General features: G+C 37.3%; 1 protein-coding gene across 30 annotated transcripts in view, besides 1 other annotated feature; it reads left to right on the forward strand.

Moving 5' to 3' along the window:
- Positions 1-27,004, forward strand: part of ADD3 (adducin 3) — a 139,193-nt gene that overhangs the window by 86,257 nt on the left and 25,932 nt on the right. For 29 of the 30 annotated variants that reach the window (NM_001320591.2, XM_047424588.1, XM_047424590.1 and 26 more), the window contains one exon: positions 17,996-18,219. In NM_001320591.2, the coding sequence (NP_001307520.1) occupies positions 18,025-18,219 (195 nt within the window). In that variant the 5' untranslated portion in view covers positions 17,996-18,024. Of the gene's footprint in view, positions 1-17,995; positions 18,220-23,370; positions 23,425-27,004 lie in introns of all 30 variants that reach the window. The other variant, NM_001320594.2, reaches the window with a different exon arrangement.
- Positions 4,131-4,280: an enhancer, noted in NCBI's record as "active region_4004". NCBI's record gives its function as "activates an Ori minimal core promoter by ATAC-STARR-seq in GM12878 lymphoblastoid cells {active_cell/tissue: GM12878}" and the evidence as "EXISTENCE:reporter gene assay evidence [ECO:0000049][PMID:35858748]".

Raw genomic sequence — 27,004 nt, forward strand, 5'->3', positions numbered from 1 at the left:
GCATTTGCTGATTGATTGGATCAGTAGTTTCTTTGGTGTTTGAAGATAACATTTTTGTATCATTATTTGTACGTGGTCTCAAAACATGGCGGTAAATATAGATTTTTAGAAATTGCTCTTTTTATGTATGTATTTACTTATTTTAAGTATTTCCAGATACCGATAATGCTCTTCTCATATCTTCACACTTTTTTTGTGTAATTACTTTTCAGTCAGCTTAAGACATTTCATATTCAGGTCACAATATTCATTACCTCAACCATCTTGGATACTTGGCCAGTCTTATCAAACCACGAATAGCCCAGTTTTCAGAGTTTGCTCTAGAATCCCTGTCCTGGTTTATTCTAAGACAAGTAGAGAATGGGGGTATTATGAGTCAAGAGCCTTACTCACCTCAGTGAGTTAATAAACCCTTATTGAGTAACTCTAAGTGGACAGTAAAGAAAGGAAAAAATGTTGACCCAGTTACTTGGAGCCAACAGACATACTCAGATAATTAAAAGGCAATACAGACTATGACAAAGTGATTTGAACACTAAGGTTGCGGGGAGAGCTAAGATGGAGGAACTTAGGAAAGTCACCATGGAAGGGGTTGGCTTTTGAATAAGAATTCAAAGTATGGACAAATATTGGATGGACGGATGGAGATGAGAGGGGAAAACAGTCCAAATGTATGAGATATGGTGAGCATCCTGGCTAACACGGTGAAACCCCGTCTCTACTAAAAATACAAAAAATTAGCCGGGCATAGTGGCTGGCGCCTCTAGTCCCAGCTACTCGGGAGGCTGAGGCAGGAGAATGGAGTGAACCTGGGAGGCGGGGCTTGCAGTGAGCCGAGATCGCGCCACTGCACTCCAGCCTGGGTGACAGAGCAAGACTCCGTCTCAAAAAAAAAAAGAAAATAGAAGAAGAAGTATGGTGAGCAAAGCAACAATCGGGGATGGCTTTTTTTTAGGAAGAGTCATTTCCCTCTAAACCTAATTAATAGGGATGGACTTTGAAGTCTTTCCTATCGTTTTTTCAGGGCCTGAATTTTAGAAGCCCCAGGCTGATAGCTAAGTATTTTTTAAAGATGGGACTTCCTGGATGCTTTTTTATTTCCTTGGGGCAGGGACTGAGGAAATGGTGTTTTTGGAAAACTATAGTAGTTGGCTTTGTGCTTCTTTGTTGCAACCAAGGATCCCAGGGTTGTAGTACTCTTACTACCTTTTAAAGGTTTAAAATAACACTTTCTAGCACTTTACAACTTGACAGAACCTTTCCTAGACAATAGAGATCAAAAGTAGACACAAAATATTTACCAAACTCTGGAGAGCTACTTAAGTTACTAAGCTCCTCATAGATAGCTTTTTATTTGACAATAAAGTACTTGATGTAGGCTTTAAGTACAGCTAAATAGACACTATAGAACTAAGCTGTGAGTCTAGTCTTTGTGAGCCTCAGAAAAACAAGAGTCCTACTTCAAGCTGGAATTTAAAATATAGCAAGCAATTTCAGTGGACCTTTTAGGCATGTGTGAGTGGGCACAAAAAGCTGAGTCATGAAGTTTACTCTTCCTGGTGAATTACCATGAAAGCTTGAAAGAAAAGCACTCTCATTATTTTAAAATAGTAAAAATTGTTTTAGATTCTTATGGAAATAACACCAACAAAATGTTTTGTATATTAATCATGAGCACATACCTAGAAACCCTTTAAAATCAAGAAATTGTAACATGAGGCATTACCTGGCTTTTTAGAGATAAAAGTTAACAGTTTATTTAATGTACAGTAGCACCTGAAATGTGCTTAAAATTGTGCTTACCAAAATCTTTAGTTAAATAAATTTCTAAGTGCAGTTCATGTTTTAAATTTTTCTTATATGAACAGATCATATGGTCTACAGTCTTATGTATCTCATTCTAATGTAGATAAAGTGAAAAGTATTGGGTAAGATAAATTGAGGGACTTGGGACACGTCACTCTCTCTCTCAGGATCTGTTCTACCTTTCTCCATATGAGAAATGAGGTAGAATAAGATTTGATAATATCTTACATCCTTTTAAGCTCTAACATCTTTAAATTCTAAGGATAGTATTCCTCTTTTGGCTCTCATTAGGTAATATCAGGGAAAACAACTCCTCTTGTTGGAAGAGTTCTTATTTATATTTACAAAGCAATGTTGTTTCTCTACAATCCTAACAAACGTATGAAAGTTATTCTTTGTTGTTTTAAAGTCTGCATTTCTGTTGTTTTTGATAAACTTTCCTCCATAAATTAAATAGTTAATTAGTTTAATGTTTTCTCTTTTTCCTGAATTTGATATTAGACTTCTCAGGTCTTTTTCCAGATTTTCTCACTTTTTATTGAGAGTTCAGTTTCCAGCAGTGGACTGGAGACTTGGGTTGTTGTCTCTTTATCTTCTCATTATTTCCAGTTTCTTCATGTTAGAAATAATTTTAATTCCCCCCCATTTTTTGATATGAATTAGTTTGGTGTCATAAAATATCAATGTATACATACATTTTTAGAATTCTTGTTCATATCAACTAGGCCTACTTTTCAAAGCTAAATCCTGTTTTATCAGGAAAGAGCCTAGACCTCTTTAAATGCACCCACAAGCTTGCATGGCAGTTAATGTCCAACACAGTTCAAAATGAAATAATGGGGCATATATAATCTGGAGACCAGGATCTAGAGAACTTTTTCTAAAGTTCATAATTATAGTTTAGATTACACTTTGTTGAAGATTTAATTTGGTGAATACCCAGGGGATTTTACTGACTGGAATCCAGGTAAACAGTCAGGAGCAGATTCCCAGAAATGGGCAATAGGAATGAGTCCAGGTATGTGAACAGTCAATATGAGTGAGATTCAGTAGGTGTCAAACTGTAGCACATAGGCAGAGTTTAGGGACAGGGAATTTTTGGCAAAGGGTGGTAATTGGTAGAAGTCCAGATCCAATCAGTACCAGGGAGATCTGCATGGCATCGGAGATCTACTGCCATATGCAAAGATGTGAGCTATCAGGTGACCTCAGGGAACAGTGGCAAATGATAGAAGGGTCTAAGACTGAGACGTGGGCCCTAGGGTTCAGGCATAGACCTTCAATTGTAAAAGTATTTGAAGTTACCTGATAGAGAAACAAGAAAGTGAATTAGGCTGCTTGAGAGTGAGTGGAGTGGCTCAGAATTTAATGATTAAGAAACAGACTTGGGCCGGGCATGGTGGCTCACGCCTGTAATCCCAGCACTTTGGGAGGCCGAGGCAGGCAGATCACCTGAGGTCGGGAGTTCGAGTCCAGCCTGACCAACATGGAGAAACCCCTTCTCTACTAAAAATACAAAATTAGCTGGGCGTGGTGGTACAAGCCTGTAATCCCAGCTACTTGGACGGCTGAAGCACGAGAATCGCTTGAACCTGGGAGGCGGAAGTTGCAGTAAGCCGAGATCATGCCATCGCACTCCAGCCTGGGTGACAAAGAGCGAAACTCCGTCTCAGAAACAGAAAGAAAAAGAAAAAGGCTGGGCGCAGTATCTCACGCCTGTAATTCTAGCACTTTGGGAGGCCGAGGTGGGCGGATCATGAGGTCAGGAGGTCAAGACCATCCTGGCCAACAGGGTGAAACCTCATCTCTACTAAATATACAAAAATTACCTGGGCATGGTGGCACGTGCCTGTAGTCCCAGCTACTCAGGAGGCTGAGGCAGGAGAATCACTTGAACCCAGAAGGTAGAGGTTGCAGTGAGCCGAGATCATGCCACTGCACTCCAGCCTGGGGACAGAGTGAGACTCCATCCTCAAAACAACAACAACAAAAAACAGGCTTGATATGGTTTGGATTTGTGTCCCCACGCAAATCTCATATTAAATTGTGATTCCAAGTATTGGAGGTGGGGTCTGGCAGGAGTTGATTGGATCATGAGGGTGGTTTCTAATGGTTTAGTACCATCCCCCTAGTGCTATCTCATGATAGAGTTCTCACAAGATCTTGTTGGTTAAAAGTGTGTATGTAGCACTTCCTCCTTCGCTCGCTTGCTCTCCTGCCACCATGCAAAGATGTGCTTGCTTCCCCTTCACCTTTCTGCCATGATTGTAGGTTTCCTGAGGCCTCTCCAGCCAAGCTTCCTGTATAGCCTGTGGAACTGTGGTAAATTAAACCTCTTTATAGATTACTTAGTCTCAGGTAGTTCTTTACATCAGTGTCAGAACATCAGAGTGGGAACAACTGCAAGACTGACTTGATGCTGAGAGATACTAAACTAGTTTCTTAGGGTTTCCCATAATCCAAGGGTCCCAGAGCCTGGCATGAACCTGCAAGATGTGGGTTCAGTGGTCTCCAATGTGAGCAGAATAGCAGAAATGCAGCATGTATGTACACATGGCAAGAAACCCACTCGCTTTAGAAAGTGGCTTTTATTTTTTTTTTATTTTTTTGAGACTGAGTCTGGCTTTGTCACCCAGGCTGGAGTGCAGTGGCACGCCATCTCAGCTCACTGCAACCTCTGCCTCCCAGGTTCCAGCAATTCTCCTGCCTCAGCTTTCCAAGTAGCTGGGATTACAGGCGCCCACCACCACGCCCAGCTAATTTTTGTATTTTTAGTAGGGATGGAGTTTAGTAGAGATGTTGGCCAGGCTGGTCTTGAATTCCTGATCTCAAGTGATCCACCTGCCTTGGCCCCTCAAATTGCTGGGATTACAGGCATGAGCTACCATGCCTGGTCCTGAGCAAGTGGCTTTTAAGTCCATCCTTGCTTAAGTGAAAATATATTCCGTAGTATTTTATGATTTAGTAACTGCTTTAACAGTGTTTCCGCTATGATGGAAGCAGTAGAGCCTGCTGCATCTTTAATTTGTGGTTGGCCTTCATTATGAATCTTCAGTTTTACAAAGAAATTTTTGTTCATCTGATGTGACAAGAATGTTCATATTTTTCTTGCTTTAGATTTCCTTGGAAACACTGACTGACAGGGTAGTTGGCAAAGGTCATGCCATTGTGGAAAACCAGAATGTTGCATTGTACTTATGTATATCAGATGTCTTGTTCAGGTTAGTGTTTTGACGATTTGTTATTTCTGAAGAGCTGACATTGATTCTGCAAAGGTGTGCTATCTATTCACACTGTTGATGGTAAAATGCTTTCAAAAATAGATATTAGGATGGAAATTCCTTTGGAACAGTATATGTGTTAGTTTCCTAGAACTGCTATATAACAAAGTACTGCAATCCCGGTGGCTAAAAACAACAGATCTATTCTCTTACAGTTCCGGAGGCCAGAGGTCCAAAATCAAGGTGTTGGCAGGATTGGTTCATTCTGAGGGGTCTGAGGGAAAAATCTATTCCATGCCCCTCCCCGGGCTTCTCATGGTTCCCAGCTTGGTCCCTAGGCTTGTGCTGCATCGGTTCAATCTCTGCCCTGTCATCATAGGGCTTTTTTCTTCCTTTGTGTCTTTTTTGTTACTTGGTGTCCAAATCTCTCTCACTTTCCTCTTATAAAGATACTAGTCGTTGGATTTAGGACTCACCCTAATCCAGTATGATCTCAACTTAATTTGATCTACAAACCCTATTTTCAAATAGGCCACACTGTGAGCTTCTGGGGACATGAATTTTTAGGGAAGACACTATTCAACCACTATAGTACAGTAGTATGGCTGAATGTCAATCTTTAGATCTAAAAGATGATACATTTGAAAAAGCAAGTTTTTGACAAATCCGTTTTGAGAAACAGATTTCTGAAATTGATAAAAATCTCTTTTTGTGAACTTGCACTTAAAACCATCAACCAATTGCTAAAGTGGCAGGTTATAACCAAAAAGTATTTTTGCAAGTAGTTTTCAAGTACCATTATCTGTGCTTAATAAGATGCATTTTCATGGCACAATATTAGGCGTTTCATAAACAAAACAGATCAAGTTGTGATGATCTTGAAATGTTCCTTAGCAGCCAAAATCGGAAGGCAGAAACTCCTCCTTCAAATCCAACTGCTTTGCAGTTGCAGTGTGTTGAGTTGCCTACAGTTTTTGGATTGACTTTTGCAGCTGTATTTTTTATAAGTTATGAAAGCCAAAAGTCTTTAGCTTGAATATCTGAAATAGTAGATCAAAATGAACTCTTGGTAATTATACCCTGTGGTTCTTTAATATTTTTTTGTGTATTTTCCTCCAATTTTTAAAATAAGGAACTTTGTCTCATTTTTTTGTGCCTTTCCATCCCTCCCTTTCCCCCACCGTGGCACGTCACAATGACTGTATTAGGAATGGAACACAGAAACATAGTCCATGGTAACAAATCAGTTTCCTAGACTAGCCTTTTCAATGCATATTTATTTTGCAGACTCAGCTCATTTTTAATAATAAGCTTTGTTGGATTATTTGCATTTCTTCAGTTAAAATCTAATTTCAGCTTGTGAAATAGGTAGATGTAAGATTGGAATTTGGGGAAGTTAAATTTCCTATATTATTTGTATTTGAATATTCATTTGAGAAAAGGTCCACTGAGATTTGTAGAGTGGGTATGCAGTAAAGTATGAAGTATGTGAGAGTTGATGTTTCTTTAAAAAATAAAAATAAAAAAAAAGCTTTTTGCCTAGAAAGACTACCAAATAAGAATCAAAGACTTACGGTATCTCCTGAAATTGAGAGCAATGAATGTTTATTTAAAAATAATAATTTCTAGTGATTCCTCTTTTTAAAACCTCTCATTTATCATGAGCTGTCAAGCTCTGGATAGTTTCCTGGATCTCAATTTTAAAATTTTCTCTAATAGCAGGGAACTCAACAGAAACTAAATGTCTGAGACGCACATCTAAGTAATCAATCCACTAGTCTCTGTCAGCTTTCTCTAAGGAAGGGGTTGGGATGTGGGGTGGGGAACCCTTCTTTTGTTTCTCAACCATTTTCCAAAACTCCACATTGAAGACAAATGGTGACTAAGGGAATATATATAGAATGTTCATTATATTTTGTAGAAAGGAGAGTAAAGGCTCACCAAGGCTGTGTGTCTTTGGGTTCTGTAAGATACTTGAGGGATTGCCTTTCTGTGGTTGATTGTTTTACTCATTTCATAGGAATATATATATATGTACACACACATATGTATATATGATATATGTTTATAATATATATGATATATATATAAAATCAGTTTCATATTTACTTTTCCAAATGGTTTATGTTGGGAACAATTCAAGTTAATGTTAGATAATGATTAATGATTGAGTTTGGACTTGAAGAAATACTTTCTCTGAACTTTCTGTACATGTTTTCAACTTTGTAACCCTGCCCCTTGTATGGCCATTGTAATTGGTAAATTTGACCTAATTATAATAAAGATTTTTATTTCAAGTTACCAGTGAATGTTATTTTCACCTCTACCAATGTCTAAGCAAGTAACTGCCTCTCTTCCTCTCCCAACCCCCACCATCACCTCAAGTACAGAAATCTGTTTGCCTCACTGTTCCTTGTAACAGGTAACGTAGATCAATAAAATATCCTTCGTCGTTAGTGACACAGAGGTTAGACTGATCCTCAGCATTGTCCAACTCTGTCTTTAGTCTTTGAATCACCCTGTTGAATGATTATGTTGATATAACAAGCACCTACTTGACTTTTTTTTTTTTTTTTTTTGGCAGACAGAGTCTTGCTCTGTCGCCCAGGCTGGAGTGCAGTGGCGTGATCTCAGCTCACTGCAACCTTCACCTCCCGGGTTCAAGCGATTCTCATGCTTTGGCCTCCCAAGTAGCTAGGACTATAGGCATGTATCACCACGCCCAGCTAATGTTTTGTATTTTTAGTAGAGGTGGGGTTTCACCATGTTGCCAAGGCTTGTCTTGAACTCCTAAGCTCAGGCAGTCCGCCTACCTTGGCCTTCCAAAGTGCTGGGATTACAGGTGTGAGCCACCATGCCCAGCCCCTACTTGACATTTTTTTACTTACTGTTCTGCACCTACATTATGAACAATGTGTGTGTTATGACTACATCTAACTGCTTTGTTCCAATTGTACAATCACAAGGAGACTCATGTTTGCCAAGAGTTTATATTAATTCATATTATATTTTTATTTGTAAAACAAAATTTGAAACTGAAACACCCTCTTAGCTGTGGCCTCCAATTGACACATATTTTATCTTTTTTAAATGACTGCTTAGTCAGACATCAACTTCCATTAAGTACAGAACATTTAGTACCGCAGTGGGTTGCTGTTACTATTTTATTTTATTTTGTTATTGTTGTGGGGGTTTTTTCCCTTGACTTTAAGTTGGATTTTAAACTAAGGCTCAGTCCTAACTTTTACTAAACAACTATAGATTTATTATTTCCTGGACTTTATATTGAGGTTTAGAATTTAGTTTTATTTTAAAGATAACAAGTCATTTCAAAAGAACAAAAACGGGGTTCAGGAATTTAAGAATAATACGGATCAATCTGACAATTCCAGCAGTAGGCCAGAGAGGTAGGTAGGTTTCCACATGTGTAGGTTTGATAGCCATGGAAGACTTTGTGCAAATTTTATTGCTACTTTTAGAATATTTACTATTTCCACTTTGGTATTGAGTATTGTGATCATATAATATTTTCATCCCCCCTCCCCCAAATAAAGTCAGTGATCTAATGGCTGGATATATCTTTAGGAAATGATAGTCCTTTGAGCCATCTCATATTTTTTGGCTAACTCCACCATGCCTGTTAAGATCTATAACCATGAGTAATTTCCTTATTTGTGAGAAGAACCTTTGGTAATCTGAGACAAATTTATTAAACCTCAGTTTTTATACTACAAGACTACAGTAACTAAAACAGCCTGGTACTGGTTCAAAAACAGACACATAGACCAATGGAACAGGTTAGAGAACCCAGAAATAAAGCCACACACATACAACCATCTGATCTTTGACAAAGTCAACAATAACAAGCAACGGGGAAAGGATTCCCTATTCAATAAATGGTGCTGGGATAATTGACTAGCCATCATATGCAGAAGATTGAAACTGGACCTTTTCCTTTCACCATATACAAAATTCAACTCAAGATGGATCAAAGACTTACATGTGAGACCTAAAACTATAAACTCTAGGAGAAAACCTGGATTTCACGATGAAGTCTCCAAAAGCAATTGCAAAAAAACAAAAATAAACTAGTATGACATAATTAAAGAGCCTTCTGCACGGCAAAAGAAACTATCAACGTAGAAAACAGACAACCTGCAGAATGGTAGAAAATATTTACAAACTATGCATCCAACAAAGGTGTAATATCCAGAGTTTATGAGGAACTTAACCCAACAGGTAAACAACCCCTTAAGAAAATAGTCTCAAAGGACATGAACATCCACTTCTCAGAAGACATACACACAAGTCAACATGCATATGGAAAAATGCTCAACATCACTAATCATCAGAGAAGTGCAGATCAAAACCACAGGGAGATACCTTCTCATACCAGTCAGGATGACTGTTATTAAAATGTCAGAAAATAACAGATGTTGGCGAGGTTGTGGAGAAAACGGAACACTTATACACTGCTGTCCAGCCACTGTGGAAAGCAGGAGGTTTCTCACAGAATTTAAAACAGAACTACCATTCAACCCAGCAATCCCATTTACTGGGTGTATACCCAAAGGAATATAAATTATTCTACCAAAAAGACACAAGCGCAAATATGTTCATTGCAGCACTATCCACAATAGCAAAGACATGGAATCAATCACCTAGATGTCCATAACAGTGGTCTGAATGAAGAAAATTTGGTACATATATACCTTCGAATACTATGCAACCATAAAAAAAACATGAAATCATGTCCTTTGCAGCAACATGGATGCAGCTGGAGGCTATTACCCTAAGCAAATTAACACAGGAACAGAAAACCAAATACTGCATGTTCTCACCTATAATGGTAACTAAACATTGAATACACATGGACACAAAGGTGGGAACAATAGACACCCGGTCTACTTGAGTGGGGAAGGTAGCAGGAGGGTGAAGGCGGAAAAACTGCCTATCAGGTCCTCTGCTCACTTACTTGGCTTATGAAATCATTTGTACTCCAAACCCCAATGCCGTACAATTTACCTATGTAACAGACCTGCACATGTACCCCCTGAACCTAACATAAAAGGGGTGGGGAAACATTATGTTGTATACTTTAAATAAATATAATTTTATTTTTTAAACTGAAAAAAAAAACCCCTCAGTTTTCTTATCTATAAAGTTGGGGATACTGGTCGCCTTTTCATAGAGTTGTGAAGGATTTTTCTTGGAGGCTGGAGAGACAGAGTCTCACTCTGTCACCCATGCTGGAGTGCAGTGGTGCAATCTTGGCTTATTGCAACCTCCACCTCCTGGGTTCAAGCAATTCTCTTGCCCCAGCCTCTGAGTAGCTAGGATTACAGACACATGCCACCATGCCCAGCTAATTTTTACATTTTTAGTAGAGATGGGGTTTCACCATATTTGCCAGGCTGGTCTCCAACTCCTGACCTCAAGTAATCCGCCCACCTTGGCCTCCCAAAGTGCTGGTATTACCAGCGTGAGCCACCACACCTGGCCAGAGTTGTAAAGGATATTAAATGAGAAAATCTGTATAGAGCATAGTACCTGGAATTCTGTGATTGCTTTAAAATGTTTCATTAAATTACTGCTTTTGTAGTTTAGACATGTTTATGTATACATGCATTTCTATTTAGTATCTATATTAGACCAATTTCTATTACCACTTATTTCAGTTGGTGTATTATACTTGTCTTAACTCTTTAGGTCCCAACAGGATATTTTTCTGAGGTTTGTTTTGTTTCATAATACAGCCCTCAACTCTTTTAATATGATGCTAAATTATATTAAAGTGAAACTTAAATACAATTTATTATTACCCAGAGCACAGTCAATGTCATTTTGTTAATAGCTTCTAATTAAGTCATAGTGGTCATCTGTCAGGTAAAGAGTTAAGACTTCCTATATACTGATCAATAGCCAACGTAGTCTCCTTTTCAGATGGACTTGAGTCAATTTAGTGGTCCGTACCTTGCATGTAGTTCCTTTTTGTTTGGAACTCAAAGTTGTGTGGAATGTTCCATGACATTTTATTATACCATTTATCTGCCTGCTCATTGAGCTTCTTCATCTGCCCATCTCCTAATACTCTTTGTCTTTATGCATCTTATTTATATGTTTTGCTAAGTACTGATGGCAAAGATACTAAGTGTCTTTATGGTGTGTGGGTGTGTGTGTGTATGTATGAAAAATATATAGTTATGTGAATGTGGTCTTTCCCTGTATCTCAAAATCTTATTGTACTATATTCGCCTATTTTTGAACAGTGGTTGACCACAGGTAACTGAAACTGCAGTTAAGGAGGGGAACTACTGTATTGATAAAATGTTAGTGAGTACTTTTTAATATTTAATGATGTACTTAAAACTTGTCCCTTTGGTATTTAGGTCAAATAAACCACCATTATACAACTACCCCACTTGTACATCTATTTTTCTGTGCATGCTAGGCAAACGGACCATTAAGTCTATTACAAGCACTAGAATTTTAGTTCTTCTTAATAGCCTGTTCCTCTCAGTGGATGGTATTTATAAAATACATCCATAAACATGGCGTGATGGGTCTGTTTTCTTTCTTATATTTCATTGAAGGAGTAAATTTTGATTATGGGGCAATCTGGATGACATGGTAATGCTAATAAACATCATTATTATGATTTTATAATATGATATTTGAGCAATGTAACTTTAGAAAAGTCACTCAACACCACTGAGTATAGTTTCCTCTCATCTGTAAAAAGTGATCATTGAATCTAGTCTGAAATATTTCAAGAGAAGCTCATATAAAATCAATAGCCTTTTAGGAATAAGAGCCTAGTGCTTTGTGGGATAATTAAGTTTTTCTCCATTTGTGCACTTAGTGCCATCTGTATTACTCAGTGCTGCTCAATGCCAGGTTCATTTGGGTTTTTTCTCCCATTTTTCTTCATTTTTATCTATTTCTGCTTCAAGTTTTCAGATCTGTCAATTTCCATGTCAGTTGTATATAAAATTTTGGCTAGCATTTAAAAGCAGCTCATGTCTTTTAGAACTTAAAATGAAGAAAATTTCACTAGTGATCTAAGGATAGTAGCTTGTCATAGTTTGTGTAGGGTCTAAGTTGTTTTCTAGAACTTCAAATAACTTTAAAATTTCATAGTAACTTTCATCAAGAAAAACTGAAATAGCATTTGTTGTTTTGTTTTTTAACCAAATATGCTGCTTTGCGGTCTTGGCATATCTTTGATTATTCTTTGAAGTGTGGAAAAATAGGTCTGGTAGTTGAAAGTACAGCCATCTCTTTGCTTATTCTAAAGAAAGCTATTCAAACTGCCAAGAATTTTAAGTTTGGAAAGATTTTTTTGTAAGTAATAACTTCTTTTCAAAAGATTGTTTTTACTATTCCCAGCCTATAAATAATGCAAACCAGATTTATTTGGAAGGAGTTGTGATATAGTAAAGTAACTTAATTCAGCCCCCATTTATGGAGTTCTCGCCCATTGTGAGGACTACAAGAGAGTCCCCATTCCCAAGCTTGCAAGGTGGTCAGTAGCTTCTCAGGTTGGATTTTTAAAATAACAGTTTTATGGAGATAATTCACATACCATGCCATTTGGCCATATAAAGTATACAATTCAGTGGTTTTTAATATAGTCACAGAGTTGTACAACTATCACCACAATAATTTTAGAACATGTTCATCACTCCAAAAATAAATCTCATTGGCGGCCACTCCTCATTTTCCCATAGTGCCTGGCAGCCATTAATCTGTTTTCTACCTCTATAGATTTGTCTTTTCTAAACATTTCATATAAATGGAGTCATACAATATGTGGTCCTTGGTGACTAGCTTCTTTCACTTACAATGTTTTCAAGGTTCATCCATGCTGAAGCACATATCAGTATTCCATTTCCTTTTATTGCCATGTAATATTCCACTTTCTGGATTACCATATGACAAAATACTATACTTTGTGTTTGTCAGTTGATAGATGTTTGGGTTGTTTCTACTTTTTCCTGTTAATGAAAAAATATGCTATAATTTTATAATAGTCAAAGACGAGAAATAACCAGTTGTCTTTGAGTAGACAAATGATTAAACAAATAATGATACAGCCATACCATAGAATAGCATTCAACAGTAAAAAGGAACAAATTATTGATATGACAGCCTCCACAAATGTTCAGTAAATGATTGAGTGAAAAAAGCCAATCCCCAAAGGTTTTATATGTTGCATATTTTCATTTGTATAATATTCTTTAAATGACAATTATAGCAATAGAGAATGGATTAGTGGTTGCTGCTGATTAAGGAGGGAGTGGAAATGGGCATTGCTATTAAAGGGCAGCATGCGGAGTACTTCTGGTGATGGAAATAATCTCCTTCTTGACTATATTACTGTCAGTGTGCTGGTTGTGATACTGTAATATAGTTTTGCAATGTGTTGCCATTGGGAGAAACTGGGGAAAAGGGCATAAGGGATGTCTGTGTTATTTATTATAGATTATTATATAAAAATATTTTTTTGGAAAAAAACAATACTCAGTTGGCTCTTTCAGCATTCTACCTAGAAATCTTAGTGAGCTCCACATTCGTTAAGCATGTTTTCTAGTTTTCAAGTTAACACATTCTTGTTAGTTTGTGCTCTCATTATGCAACATAACCCTCTCTCCAGTCTCCAGTAGCAGTCTCCTCACTGCCTTGTCAGCCTCCACTAATAGCCTCCCCACTGCCTAGGCCCCAGAGCTAATGCCAGGTTTTCAGTTTTTGTTATTACAGCACCAGTAACACCAGTTTTCACTTTAGTTATCTGTTGCTGTGTGAAAAACAGAAACAACAACAAAAACAAAGCTTTGTGTGTTTAACAATTTATTATTTCTCATGATTCTGTATGTTGACTGAGTAGCACCTTACCTGCTTTTACCTGGACTCATTCATGTTGCGATAGTTAGCTGGGGGGGGTCTGCTGGGAACCTGGCTTACTGGGGACAGCTGGGCCTCTTTCTCCTCATTTTTCATTATGGGCTTCTTCATGGTGTGGCAGCTGCACGACCCTCAAAGTGTATAATGTCACTTCAGCCACATTGTTTTAGTCAAAGCAAATCACAAGTCCAAACCAGATTTAAGGGATAGGAAAATAGTCTCTACTTCTTAGTGGAAAAAGTAGATCGCAGGGAAGCATGGAAGAATTCTTGAGGCCGTCTTTGAAAAACGATGTACCACAGAGCCCAAATCAGGAGTCCAGCTCATCTAGAGGCATCTAACAGGTAACTCAGGTGGAAAGGGCTCTACAAGTGGACCTGAATACAAGCAACCCAGATTGTAAGATAGGCAAGAATGGCACTAGCAGTGCTGGTGAGCTCAGAATTGAACATAGGGGTATTTTTCTCAGTCTGTGAACACTTTGGGTTAATTTGATAATGAACAGCTTTACAAAATACATGGTATGAGCATATGTCAGATACTGTTTAAGTATATTAACAGTTATACAATGTTACTACCTCTGTTACTTTGAGTTTTGAGGGTTCTTATATTAATCTAAGTGGATTGGGAATATAGCTTTCATATGTATGACTGTTTTTGTTTAATAGCTCAGGTATTGTTTGGGGGTTTTCTTTTTGTAAGTGTGTTTTGTATCCTATCTTACCTGTGAGCAAACTTTTAAAAATTCTTTGGTGAGGAAAGAACATGGTATACTATAAAATTCAGGAGGGCCCTGAAAATTGTGGTATTAATATTTTCCTTTGACTGTGTTGAGATTGGATTTGTCTTATATTGGATTAATGTTTATGTATATATTTTGGATTTTTTGTGCTTTGTTTTGAAATTATTTCAGACTTACAAAAGAGTTGGCAAAAATAGTGAAAGAATTCCTGTTTGTCCTTTACCCAGATTCCCTAAATGATAATATCTTCCATAACCATGTTGTAATTATCAGTTTCAGGAAATTAACATTGATGTAAATACTATTATCAAATTTACAGATTCTATTTAAATTTCACCAATTGTCTCACTGATGTCCTTTTCCTGGTCTAGGATCTGATCCAAGATTACATGTTGCATTTAATTGTCACGTCTTAGTCTCCTTTGTCTTCTTTAATCTGGAACAGTTCCTTACAGTTCCTTAGTCTTTGTTTTTCTTTTTTTTTTTTTTTGAGATAGAGTCTCGCTCTGTCACCCAGGCTGGAGTGCAGTGGTGTGATCTCGGCTCACTGCAAGCTCCACCTCCCAGGTTCACACCATTCTCCTGCCTCAGCCTCCTGAGTAGCTGGGACTACAGGCGCCTGCCACCACGCCTGGCTAATTTTTTTGTATTTTTAATAGAGACAGAGTTTCACCGTGTTGGCCAGGATGGTCTCGATCTCCTGACCTCATGATCTGGCCGCCTTGGCCTCCCAAAGTGCTGGGATTACAGGCATAAGCTACCGCGCCCAGCCTAGTCTTTATTTTTCATGACCTTGACATGATTGAAGAGTACTGGCCAGTTGTTTTGTACAATGATCCTCAATTTAAGGCAGTCAATTGATTTGATTCAGAGGAGCCTGGTCTTCTGTAGTTCTGCTTTGAAATGGTTGAATATACTGAAACATTGCAGAAATATTATTCTTATCTATGAATAATAATCCTAGGAGTTGGATGGCTAAGGGACTGGATAGAAATGTAATGATTGGGAGTATTTTTAAGTGGCTCTGTGTTTAGAGTATCTGTTTTATAGGTACTTATTTTCAAAAATCCTCCCCCAAAAATGTGCTTTCAGATGTATAATTCATAGAATCATAAACAGCCCTTTGTAATATCCTCAGAGAGCTTGAAAATGTTTTTATCTTTCTGCAGTGCTGACATTGATGTGTTTTAAATGGGTAGACATTGTGCTATTTGCAAAGCCTTCTATCTAAACTAAGCAGATAGTTGTAACATTTTATCTGTGACTGGCTAAAGTTCTTTTAACACCCATATTTCTTAAAGCAAATTGTGAACTATTTTCATGAATACAGAATTTTTTTTTTTTTGAGATGGAGTCTCACTCTGTTGCCCAGGCTGCAGTGCAATGGCGTGATCTCAGCTCACTGCAACCTCCGCCTCCCAGGTTCAAGCAATTTTCCTGCCTCAGCCTCCCGAGTAGCTGTGATTACAGGCACCTACCACCACGCCCAACTAATTTTTTGTATTTTCAGTAAAGGCGGGGTTTCACTATGTTGGCCAGGCTGGTCTCGAACTCCTGACCTCGTGATCTGCCCCCTTGGCCTCCCAAAGTGCTGCGATTATGGGCATGAGCCACTGTGCCGGCCTGAATACAGAAACTTTTTTGCCTCACTCCATCGCCCAGACTGGAATGCAGTGGTGTGATCATGGCTCACTGCAGCCTCAACCTCCTGGGCTCAAGGAATCCTCCCACCTCCACCTCCTGAGTAGCTAGGACTACAGGTGCATGCCAACACGCCTGGCTTTTTTTTTTTTTTTTAATTTATTTTGTAGAGACAGGGTTTCACTATGTTGCCCAGGTTGATCTGGAACTCCTGGGCTCAAGTGATCCTCCCACCTCAATCTCCCAACATGCTGGGATTATAAGCATGAGCCACCACGCCCAGCTTAAACTCTATTTAAAAAAAAAAAATACAAAAATGTGATTTACTGTAAGTACTATTTTTAAAATATTAATATGTAAAGAAATATGTAATAAGCTACAATATTTCTTCAAAAAAATCAATCTTACTCTCCTCTCTAGCATATATTCATTCTCAATTAACATTTCCTACCCCTTCTCCCTTCCGTTTCCTTCCTGACCATAACTTAGAGTTTCTAGGGCATTGTTTTTCAAGTTGTGGGTCACAACCCATTAGTGGATCATCAATCAATTTGACTAGCGTGTATTAAAATGAAGTAGATTAAAATAGAAAATATCGGAATATACCACATAGTAAGGGAAAGTATGTCATTAATTTATCTCAGTTATGTATCTTATATATTTGTATGTGAATACAATATAAAATGTTTGAAAGCCACCATTCTGGAGTGTTTCATCTATTTGTGTCTTGAACCTAATGTTTTTTAAACATGCATGTTGGATAGTTGTTGCATAAATATTTGCATAAGATTTTTAAAACTAGAATTCTGTATATACATGATACCTTGTTTCTATTCTGCATGGCCAAAGGCTACATCAGAGGGAAACCCTTAGTGTTCACAAGTTTTATAACTACTTTTTAAAAATTCGTTCTTTGCAGCACTTTAAAAGAATGTTGTTTAAGACTATTTTTTCCCTAATGTAATTCATACTGGTTTGTACTAGTTCCTATTACTCTGAAATACTTAGAAAGTATGACTTTGCATATGTGGTATTAAAAGTAGGAGTTGGGGGCCAGGCACAGAGGCTCATGCCTGTAATCTTATCACTTTGGGAGGCCAAGGCAGGAGGATCACTTCAGCCCAGCTGGGCACAGTGGCTCATGCCTATAATCCCAATGCTTTGGGAGGCCGAGGTGGGCAGACCATGAGATCAGTAGTTCCAGACCAGCATGGTCAATATGGTGAAACCCCATCTCTACTTAAAAAAATACAAAAATTAGCTGGGCATGGTGGCACGCGCCTGTAGTCCCAACTACTCGGGAGGCTGAGGCAGGAGAATCTCTTGAACCCAGGAGGTGGAGGTTGCATTGAGCCAAGATCACGTCACTGCACTCCAGCCTGGGTGACACAGTGAGACTCCATCTCAAAAAAAAAAAAAAAAAAAGGCAGTTGATGACATTAACGTAATTTAATTGAACCATGAGTTTCTGTTAGCTCTGAAAATATCAATTACAAATCGAGCATTATAATCTAAGATCTTTTTATATGAATAAAAAATTGTTCTAATATTTTTGAGAAGCTACTTTTTAAAGTGCACCTGTTAACTCTGAGGGCAAAATGTAAAAGTTCTGCTTGACCCATGTAAATTTTGAATTTAATGAATTTATCATGGATGTCCTTCTTTGTGTTTATTAATGCAGATAACAAGAGTAATCCACAGACTTAAAACATGAGCTCAGATGCCAGCCAAGGCGTGATTACCACTCCTCCTCCTCCCAGCATGCCTCACAAAGAGAGATATTTTGACCGCATCAATGAAAATGACCCAGAATACATTAGGGAGAGGAACATGTCTCCTGATCTACGACAAGACTTCAACATGATGGAGCAGAGGAAACGAGTTACTCAGATCCTGCAAAGTCCTGTGAGTTGAATTAGAAGGCTGTAATTTTTCTCCCTCTTTGGAAATGTTAGTATAATAAGGTAGAAGTTTTCTCAAACTACCCTCAGGTTAAAAGAGGGGTGGAGGAGGAGTGGTGACCAGTTGCTTCCAGTCTTTCAAAGGAGAAATGGACATCTAATTTGTGTATTTGATTTGCAGAGCCTTAATGACAACCTAGTATTGTGTTTGGTGGTTTAAATTTTGTGTGTTTTCTGGGTATAGCACTTTATTAAAGGAGGATACCCAATTCAGACTGAATATGTAAAGAAAAGAAAGGCATGACTCAAGTCATAGGAACCAATAAATAAGTTAGGTATATCCCATGCACGTATTTTCTTCTTCCTTTGGGTACCTTGACGCTCAGAGTGGCATGAGAAGACTTAAGGTTTTTGAGGAAGTCTGTGATTTGGCAGCCTAGTATTACATATGTCTACTGCAAGCACACGTGACTACACACTAAATTAACTAAATTAAAAGTAGATTATAGGCCAGGCTCAGTGGCTCACAGTGTAATCCCAGCACTTTGGGAAGCCGAGGCAGGAGGCTCACTTGAGCACAGGAGTTTGAAACCAGCCTAGGCAGCATAGTGAATCCTTGTCTCTACAAAAAAATTTAAAAATTAACTGGGTGTGGTGGTGTGCACATGTAGTCCCATCTACTCCTGGGAGGCTGAGGCAGGAGGATCACTTGAGCCCAGAAGGTCAAGACTGCTGTGAGCCGTGATCATGCCACTGCATTCCAGCCTGGGCAACAGAGTGAGACCTTACCTAAAAAAAAAAAAAAAAAAATTCAACTCAAGTGGAAAAATCCTGTCTGCACAGCAATAGTCAGACTTTGTGAATCATATTCAAATGATCTGTTTTCTTACAAAATCTTAGTGGAAATGTATTAATACATGATGGAAAATGAGAGAACAGCTTGATTTAAAATGCAAAATGAATTTGTAACTTTCTGCATGATGAAGATCATGCACCCCTAAGACAGAGTTCAGCACACAGACATATGATGCCCAGGTTAGGGTTATATTAGGTTTCCAACTTGGGTATCAAAATTAGCACCAAGGCATAGAGCTGCCTGAAGTAGCCCTGGTAAATCATTTTTGTTGTGTCCTTGTGAATTTAATCATAGAGGTAAGTCCAAAACCAAAGGGGAATTCCACTCTTAAGTAATTAATTCTCCCATACCAGTGGCCTCGGTGAAAGCATTGAAGTACAAGTTATAAAAGCAATGTAAGCATTGAGTAATTTTATTTTTTATAGTGCCCACTTTAAAGAAACTCTTTCCAAATGGAAAGATTCATCAGAAAAGTCATGAGAGAGTAAATGTTCAGTGCCTTACTTTATGCAAACTTGAGTGTCTAGGTTTATAAACACTTGAAGAGCACATTAATTATTTAGATCAAAAATAGATATGTTTCCTTCTCCAAAGAAACCCCATTTTTAAGAACTAACTTACTAGATCGGAAATGGTGGCTCACGCCTGTTGTAATCCCAGCACTTTAGGATGCCAAGGCAAGAGGATTGCTTGAGCCTAGGAGTTTGAGACGAGCCTGGGCAACATAGTGAGACCCAGTCTTTGCAAGAAATTAAAAAATTAGTCGAGCGTGGTGGTGTGAGTCCGTAGTCTCATACTTGGGAGGCTGAGTCGAAAGGATTACTTGAGCCCAGTAGATCAAGGCTACAGTGAGCCGTGATCACACTACGGCACTCCAGCCTGGGTGACAGGGCAAGACCCTGTCTCAAAAAAAATTTTAAAAGAACTTATCAACCAAATGATTGTAGTAACAGCATATTAGTAACTGAAAGAATGAAGTGAAGTTTCAATTTTGGTTAAGGTTGTTAAATATTGAGATTTCTTTAGGAAGTATCTCAAAGAGGACCGTTGAATTCTAACTGTAGAGTCTAAATGAAAAAAATTACTAAACTCCATTTTTATGCCAGGGTTTTTGTCTTATAGTTTGCCCATTAAACTAAAGTTGCATAATGTTAAGTAGATTAATTTTTTTGTATTTAGTATTTCTATTTGTAAATTGGCTTAAAAGTAAAAATTTTACTTATGCCTTGGGGAACTTAGTGAAATAATGTGAAAGGGCAAACGCATAGTGTATCATTTCCCTATTCACTTAACGAGAATGATCACTTTCTGCCCAGAGAGGAACAAAGAAGGCTGAGATTTAAAAGAATTAAAAGTTGATATTTTTTTTTCCTAGATCTTGGCTAATGAATTTAAAATCTTCTTTGTGAAAGACTTAAGAAAGTGTATACATTTTGTCTTCCTGCCATATTTTAGGACAGTGGTTTTTAAGTTTCTTTTAATGCAACAGAAACTTCACCAAGGGAAATGATACTTGGTGGCTTGTATTAGTTATCTACTGCTGAATAACAAATTATTCCAGAACTTAGCAGCTTAAAACAAGCATTCATTATCTCACCATTTCTGTGGGTCAGAAGTTTAGGAGCAGGTTAGCTGAGTTTTTCTGGCTCAAGTTCCCTGATGAAGTTGCAGTCAATATGTTAGCCAGGGCTGCTGTCATTTGAACACTTTACTGGGGCTGGAGGATCCACTCTTAAGATGGATCACTCACATGGCTGTTGGCAAAAGACCACAATTCCTTGCCACGTGGACTTTTTCTAAAGCTGCTTGAGTGTTCTTCCCCAGAGCAAGGATCCAAGAGAGAGTAGCCTGAAGGCTGCTTTTGAACTAATCTCAGACATCACACACTGTCACTTCTGCCATATTTATTAGTTAGAAGTGAGTCTTTCAATTCTCCCCATGCTCCAGGGGAGAGAAATTAAGCTCCATCTTTTGAGGAGAGAATTGTCCACTCTCTGGTTACTATTTATTTATTTAGAGACAGGGTCTTACTGTGTTGCCCAGGCTAGTGTGCAGTGGCTGTTAACAGGCACAATCATAGCACACAAAATCCTGTGCTCAAGCGATCCTCTTGCCTCAGCCTCTTGAGTACCTGGGACTACAGGTATGTGCCACCATGCCTGGCAGGTCACAATTTATTTTAAAGGAACCGCAGTCTGTCCTTCTGCCACAATTTATTTTTCTTCCTTCCACATGCAAAATACACTCTTCTTCTCCTAGCACCTCCTAAAAAGTCTTATCCCATTCCAACATTAGCTTGAATCCAGAATCTCATCATCTAAATGTAGTCCAGCTGCAGATGATTGTCCTCAGGGTGTAGAACCTTAAGTACAGGTCCTGTCAATCTATTAACCTGTGAAATAAAGATTCATGTTATCTGCTCCCCAGTGGCAGGAGAGGGCATAAGATAACTGCTACAGACATCCCTCTTCAAAAAGGAGAAAATTGAGAAATTCAAAGGAGTCACTGGTCCAAAGCAATTGTGAAATCCATCTGGACAAATGTTTGGAAGTGTTTTGATTAGGACTCAGTCCTACTATTTACCAGGACTGAACCTCCCTGGTGCTTGGCTCTGCCCACTAGGTTCTTGGTTCCACTGTCTAAGTCATCCTTCCTTTTTCTTGAAAGGTAGCCTGTGTTTGCCACTTTGTGTTTTTCTTAGTCTGCTTTCTTCTTACAGAAGTTTTAGGGGTGCAAAGGCCCCTTTTCCTTTTGTACTGTCTTTGTTCCTTTCAGCCCAAGCTTACAGTGTTTCTGCTGATATAATTCTTTAAAAAATTTTGTCAGTCTCCTGTAAATATTGGGATTCACTCTGTTAAACAAAATCCATAACCAATAAAGATTAAAGTCAGATTTTACTAATTCATGTTTGTAAGTGACAAATTTATACACCTTCTATTTAAAATTCTCAGCTAATTTGGGTAGAAGGGAAATCAGGAGAGAAATTAATAAAAGCAAAGTATAATACTTTTTTATTAAGCACTTACTATATGCCAAGCACCTATTATGCATCTTTAATCCTCAAAGCAATTCAGTTAAAGAAGTATTAAGATGCCTAAGTTATAGATGCATAAACTGAAACTTAGAGACATTAAATAACTTGCTGAAGTTTTACAGCTTAGTTAAATGATGTGGTCAGAATTTAAACTGCAAAGCTCACACCTGTAATCACTAGGCTGTACCACTTACAGCATTCAGTGACAATGAAAAAATTCTGCCTATATGTTTTTATATCATCTTATTCATCTTCAAAGCCTGCTGCTTAAGTTAATTCAACGCAACCTGGAAGAGTTTATAATCACAAGACATTTTGGTGTAAATGTAAATTTGGATGACAAAAATCACCCCTTATTGCTTTGAGCTGAGAAAATAACAAATAATTTTTGTTATTCTGGCCCTCAGGTATTACTTATTTCTAGGAATTTCACAGCCTTTTTATATTTAATTTTTTAAAATAAAATATTTATCTTAGAAATCAAATACCACTTGGTAAATTAATTTGGCTTGAGATTTTGTTGCAGTAGAGAAAATCCACAAGTTCTCTTTGTGGAGACCCTAAGTTCTAATTTACCCCCTTTTCTCAAAACGAAGTGTTCAGGACAAACTATTGGAATTAAGTGATTCCTTTTCAAAGTTAAAGAAGCATATAAATTGAAAAACTAAGCAATAGCACATTGAATACAAGAGATGGTTACTAAATTCTGAATGCATGGATGGATAGAGAATAGCTAGGTGGGCTTTGAAACATTAAACATTTGAATATTGTCCAACAGGCTCCTACTGAACTTGACTGCTTAACAAAACAGTTGCTGGGCTTCCTAAGCCTTACCACCATGGGAAGCAGTTTAGACTGGTTGACACAAATGTGCAGTGTTATTCTGAAAAATAACAGGAGTGTATGTGGTGGTAGCCTGGGCACATGACATACTAACAGTTTTTAATAACAGGGCAATGCATACTGCTGTAAGCTTATTTTGATGCGAGGAGAAACGTCAAAGGCATATACATTTTAGGATATCACTGGAAGTAAGGCCTGAGTGTTAACAGGGTTCCTTAATTCAAATTGGTCAAAATCACCATGATCTGTGGTCAGTTGAGAAGTTTAAGATGCAGGTATTCTTAACTTTATTTACATTTCTGTTGTACACAGCTTCAAGAAAAATATTCTAACCTTTAGCTTCATGTTAATCAAGACTTAGATACAGAAGAAAGACCATCCAGAAGAAAATATGGTTTATTTGTTTTTTCTCCTTTCAACAGGGCCAGTGGTATTCTATTTCCAAATGAGTACATTTCTTAATGGAGAAATTCTAAGTAAGTTTGTTATGCTCCTAATCCTGCTTTAGGAGAGCTCTAATAACATAATTATAGGGTGCCTTGGGAGCAGCAAGTCTGTAATCTTTTTTTTTTTTTTAACTTTTTGCCCCAATTTTCCTCTCTAGTAATTTTGAGGTAAAACATCCAGATGTGGATATTTAAAATTCATCTCTGATGTCTCCTATATTTATCAGTGTTATTATCTGAGTGTAAGTTAGACATTACTGATAAATGAGCCAACATGGAGTTTTTTTTTTTTAAGCATTAATTGAAATAATTTTATCAGGTCAGGTTTTTTTAAAAAATCAAATTGGTTCTCTTTTCTGTGACTTAAGTATTTTATCTCCTGCCACTTTCTCCTGAAAGTTCTGACCTTGGATACAGAGTTTTAAAATGTGATGCCTCAAGTGAATTCTACTTTTGGTTTATAGTATTCCGGAATATGTGAGTACTTAAAGTATATTCTTAGCCTACATGAATCTCACATCTCTGAATATTTGACATTTTTAGAAGTCCATTTATGTCCATACTTTATGAATTCAAAGTTTATAGCCTCACTCCCTCGACATTGATAGATATATAAAATAAAAGGGTGTGAGATTCAGATAAGGCTTTTAAGGCACCCTGTCTCTAACTTAAACATTTTGCTTTTCACCTAGTGATTTTTTTACCATACTTTTTGGACCTATGTTTGAAGAGCTGTTCAAACTATAATGTTCTGGGGGCAAATTAAGTTTTCAAGTAGGATTTTGTTTGAGTTGAAGAATTAAATGGCTTTTTAAAAGTTTATAACATTCAATGAGGATGAATTTCTTATTTAAAGAAAATAAATCTTACCTAGTAGATTATGGGTAGGCCTAATTAGACAGCAGGGATTTCTCATTCAAGTAATAGACTGATAAGACTGTTTTCTAGCTAATAACCTATGAAATGGATATTTGCTACGTTAACTGGGTCAAGATTGAGATCAGATTCTTCACTTTCTTTATATCTAGGAAAATGAAAAGAAACTCTTAACTTAGTATTAATTGAGCACTGAACTACACACTCAGGGAGAATCTAGAAATGTGAAAGACACAGTTTCAGTCCTCAGATAATATGGTATAGTAGAGCAGGAAAATAGTTAAACAATCACAGTCATACACTAGGTACCCTAAGTATAGTATAGGGAAAGTTCACAGTGAAGTGTAGAAGAGAAGAAATACAGAGATCCCTCCTAACTTGGATGATTAGGTGACTTCAAGGAGAAGGTAGCATTTGTAATGTGTTGAATAAAGGAAAGAATTCATTAGGAAGAAGAACAGTGGAAGTCAATACTTCCATTGGATGAAGTAGATCGAGCAGGGCTAGAGAAGTGCAAGTTGTGATCAGAGAATGCTGCAAGAACCTCATAGGCTAAAGCATGAGGTAGTAATGGCAGATAAAGCAAAAAAAATTACATAGCAGCAGACTATGGAAATTTTGCAGTACCAAGCCATTTTGACCTAAGTTAGGAGTCAGTACATTTTCTCATCATTGCCCATTTTGTTTACACAATTTTTTATAAAAGTGTTTGTTTTGGATCTGGGTTCACATTTTACTTTGCCTACCACTTACTAGCTATGTGACATTACGAAGCTCGTTTAACTTGAGCTTCAGTTTCCTTGTTGGTAAAATGGGGAAAATACCTCACACGGTTGTGACAATTAAATAAAATAACATAAGAGCATGCAGTACAGCACGCAGCACGTAGTCGGCAACTGTTTTTTGGAAATTATATATTTATTGCTAATTTGAAGTACATTATGCTTTTGTGGCAACACTTGAAGATTTTAATTCCTTAGACTGTATTTTGGTTTTTTAAGGTCTTGAATCTGTTACCCTGATGGCATTCTGGTTTATTCATCTTCACAAAATTTAACAACTACCACTACCTCCTCTTCTATGCTCTTCTGTATCTGAGAAAGAAGACATAGTTTATGCCATGGTTTTGTGTATATGTTGTTTGATCTTCTAACCAGTTCTTCTCTAGTGGAGACTCCAGGGAACTGTTGGCTAATCTGACTTAAGCCCAGTATGTGGCCACACCACCCTGATTAGAAATCAAGTTTCTCATTATGCTTTGATGAATTCTTAGCTACAAGAGGGCAAGTACTTAGCCTGGTATTCCAGGATCACCATAATCTGCCAGTATATATATATATATTTTTGCTTTATCTGCCATTGCAGTCTAATGCTCTAATCTAGCCTAAGAGGTTTACTCAACATTTCAGATCACAACATGCCTGCTAGCTTATTAGTTGTATTTGGTTTCAGAGATACAATCCAAGTCTGAATAAAATTAGGAAAAGAACTTGTGCTCAGTTGAGGGTTCCATATTTGAATCTTTATTCCATTTACTTATTAGCTTTATAACCTCGAGCAAGGCATTGCCTATCTCAGGACTTTGTGGTGAGACTCAAATATATCAACTATAAAGGATTATTAACATTGAACTTTAGTAAAAATATGATTAACTACCCATCTCAAAGATAAATAAAATTTTTATCTTAATATTTTAATGAAAGCTCAATAAATTTACTGATAAATTTAAAAAATCAGCTGAAATTAGTAATTAGTAATTTTTTATATTAGTCTTATATTAGTAATTTTTACACTTACTGTTTTATGACTTAGGTGATTATCTGAACAATATTTGAGAAACATTTGAAACATGTAAAAATGAGTAATAAATGTTCATGACAAAATATTAAACCTTTTTTGCACTGGAAGAATTCTTACCTGTTGAAGCACTGTGAACTGTAAACAAGGCTGGGGGGATTTCATATACTTTGAAAAAAAATTTTTTTTATACCTATACTGCGTAGAAGCTATTCGTCAGCTTTAAAGGAGACATTCGTATTTTCCCTCTTACTCTTAATTTGATTTCAGAAGAGCTTATACATCGCTCTATGACACCATAGCTATCCCAAAGGTTTTAGAATGGTACTCACATATTGTGGGATATATGGTAATGAAGAAAGCATTTCACTAATGTAAAAAGAGCATTGGACTTGTGTCCTTGCCTCTGGCATTTACTAGCTGTATGTCCGTGAACAGGTTTTCAACCTTTCTTTAACTTTCTCATCCCACCCAGCAGAAATTTCTCACCAGTTTAATAAATTGTGATTCTCTTGAGTACCTGGTTGATTTTTTTTTTTAATCTAAAAACCATTGTAAATCAATACACTGAGCAAGCTGTCTTAATTCATGTTGGCTGCCAGAGTTGAGATAAAATTTGTCCCATCTCTAGCAAATGCATACAATTTTATGGCATTCACTTTGTATCTTAACCTCATTCCTGGCTCTGTCTACCTTCCTTATGCTTATTTTCTCTTCAGCTTTATTTTTCTTACCTATATTTATTTTTGTAGCATTTTAATCTGTGGAAGCTGCCTTAAATTTTTCCTGGAAGAACATGGGTGCAAGACATTTAATAAAATAGATAATGCCTACTTCTCCAAGTTATTGTAATATATGTAATGAGTGATACACATAGTAGGTATCATTAATTTTGGTTTTTTAAAAACTGAATCAAAGAATATCAGTTATAACTACT

This window comes from Homo sapiens, chromosome 10 (assembly GCF_000001405.40).
Source record: "Homo sapiens chromosome 10, GRCh38.p14 Primary Assembly".
Classification (NCBI taxonomy): domain Eukaryota; kingdom Metazoa; phylum Chordata; class Mammalia; order Primates; family Hominidae; genus Homo; species Homo sapiens.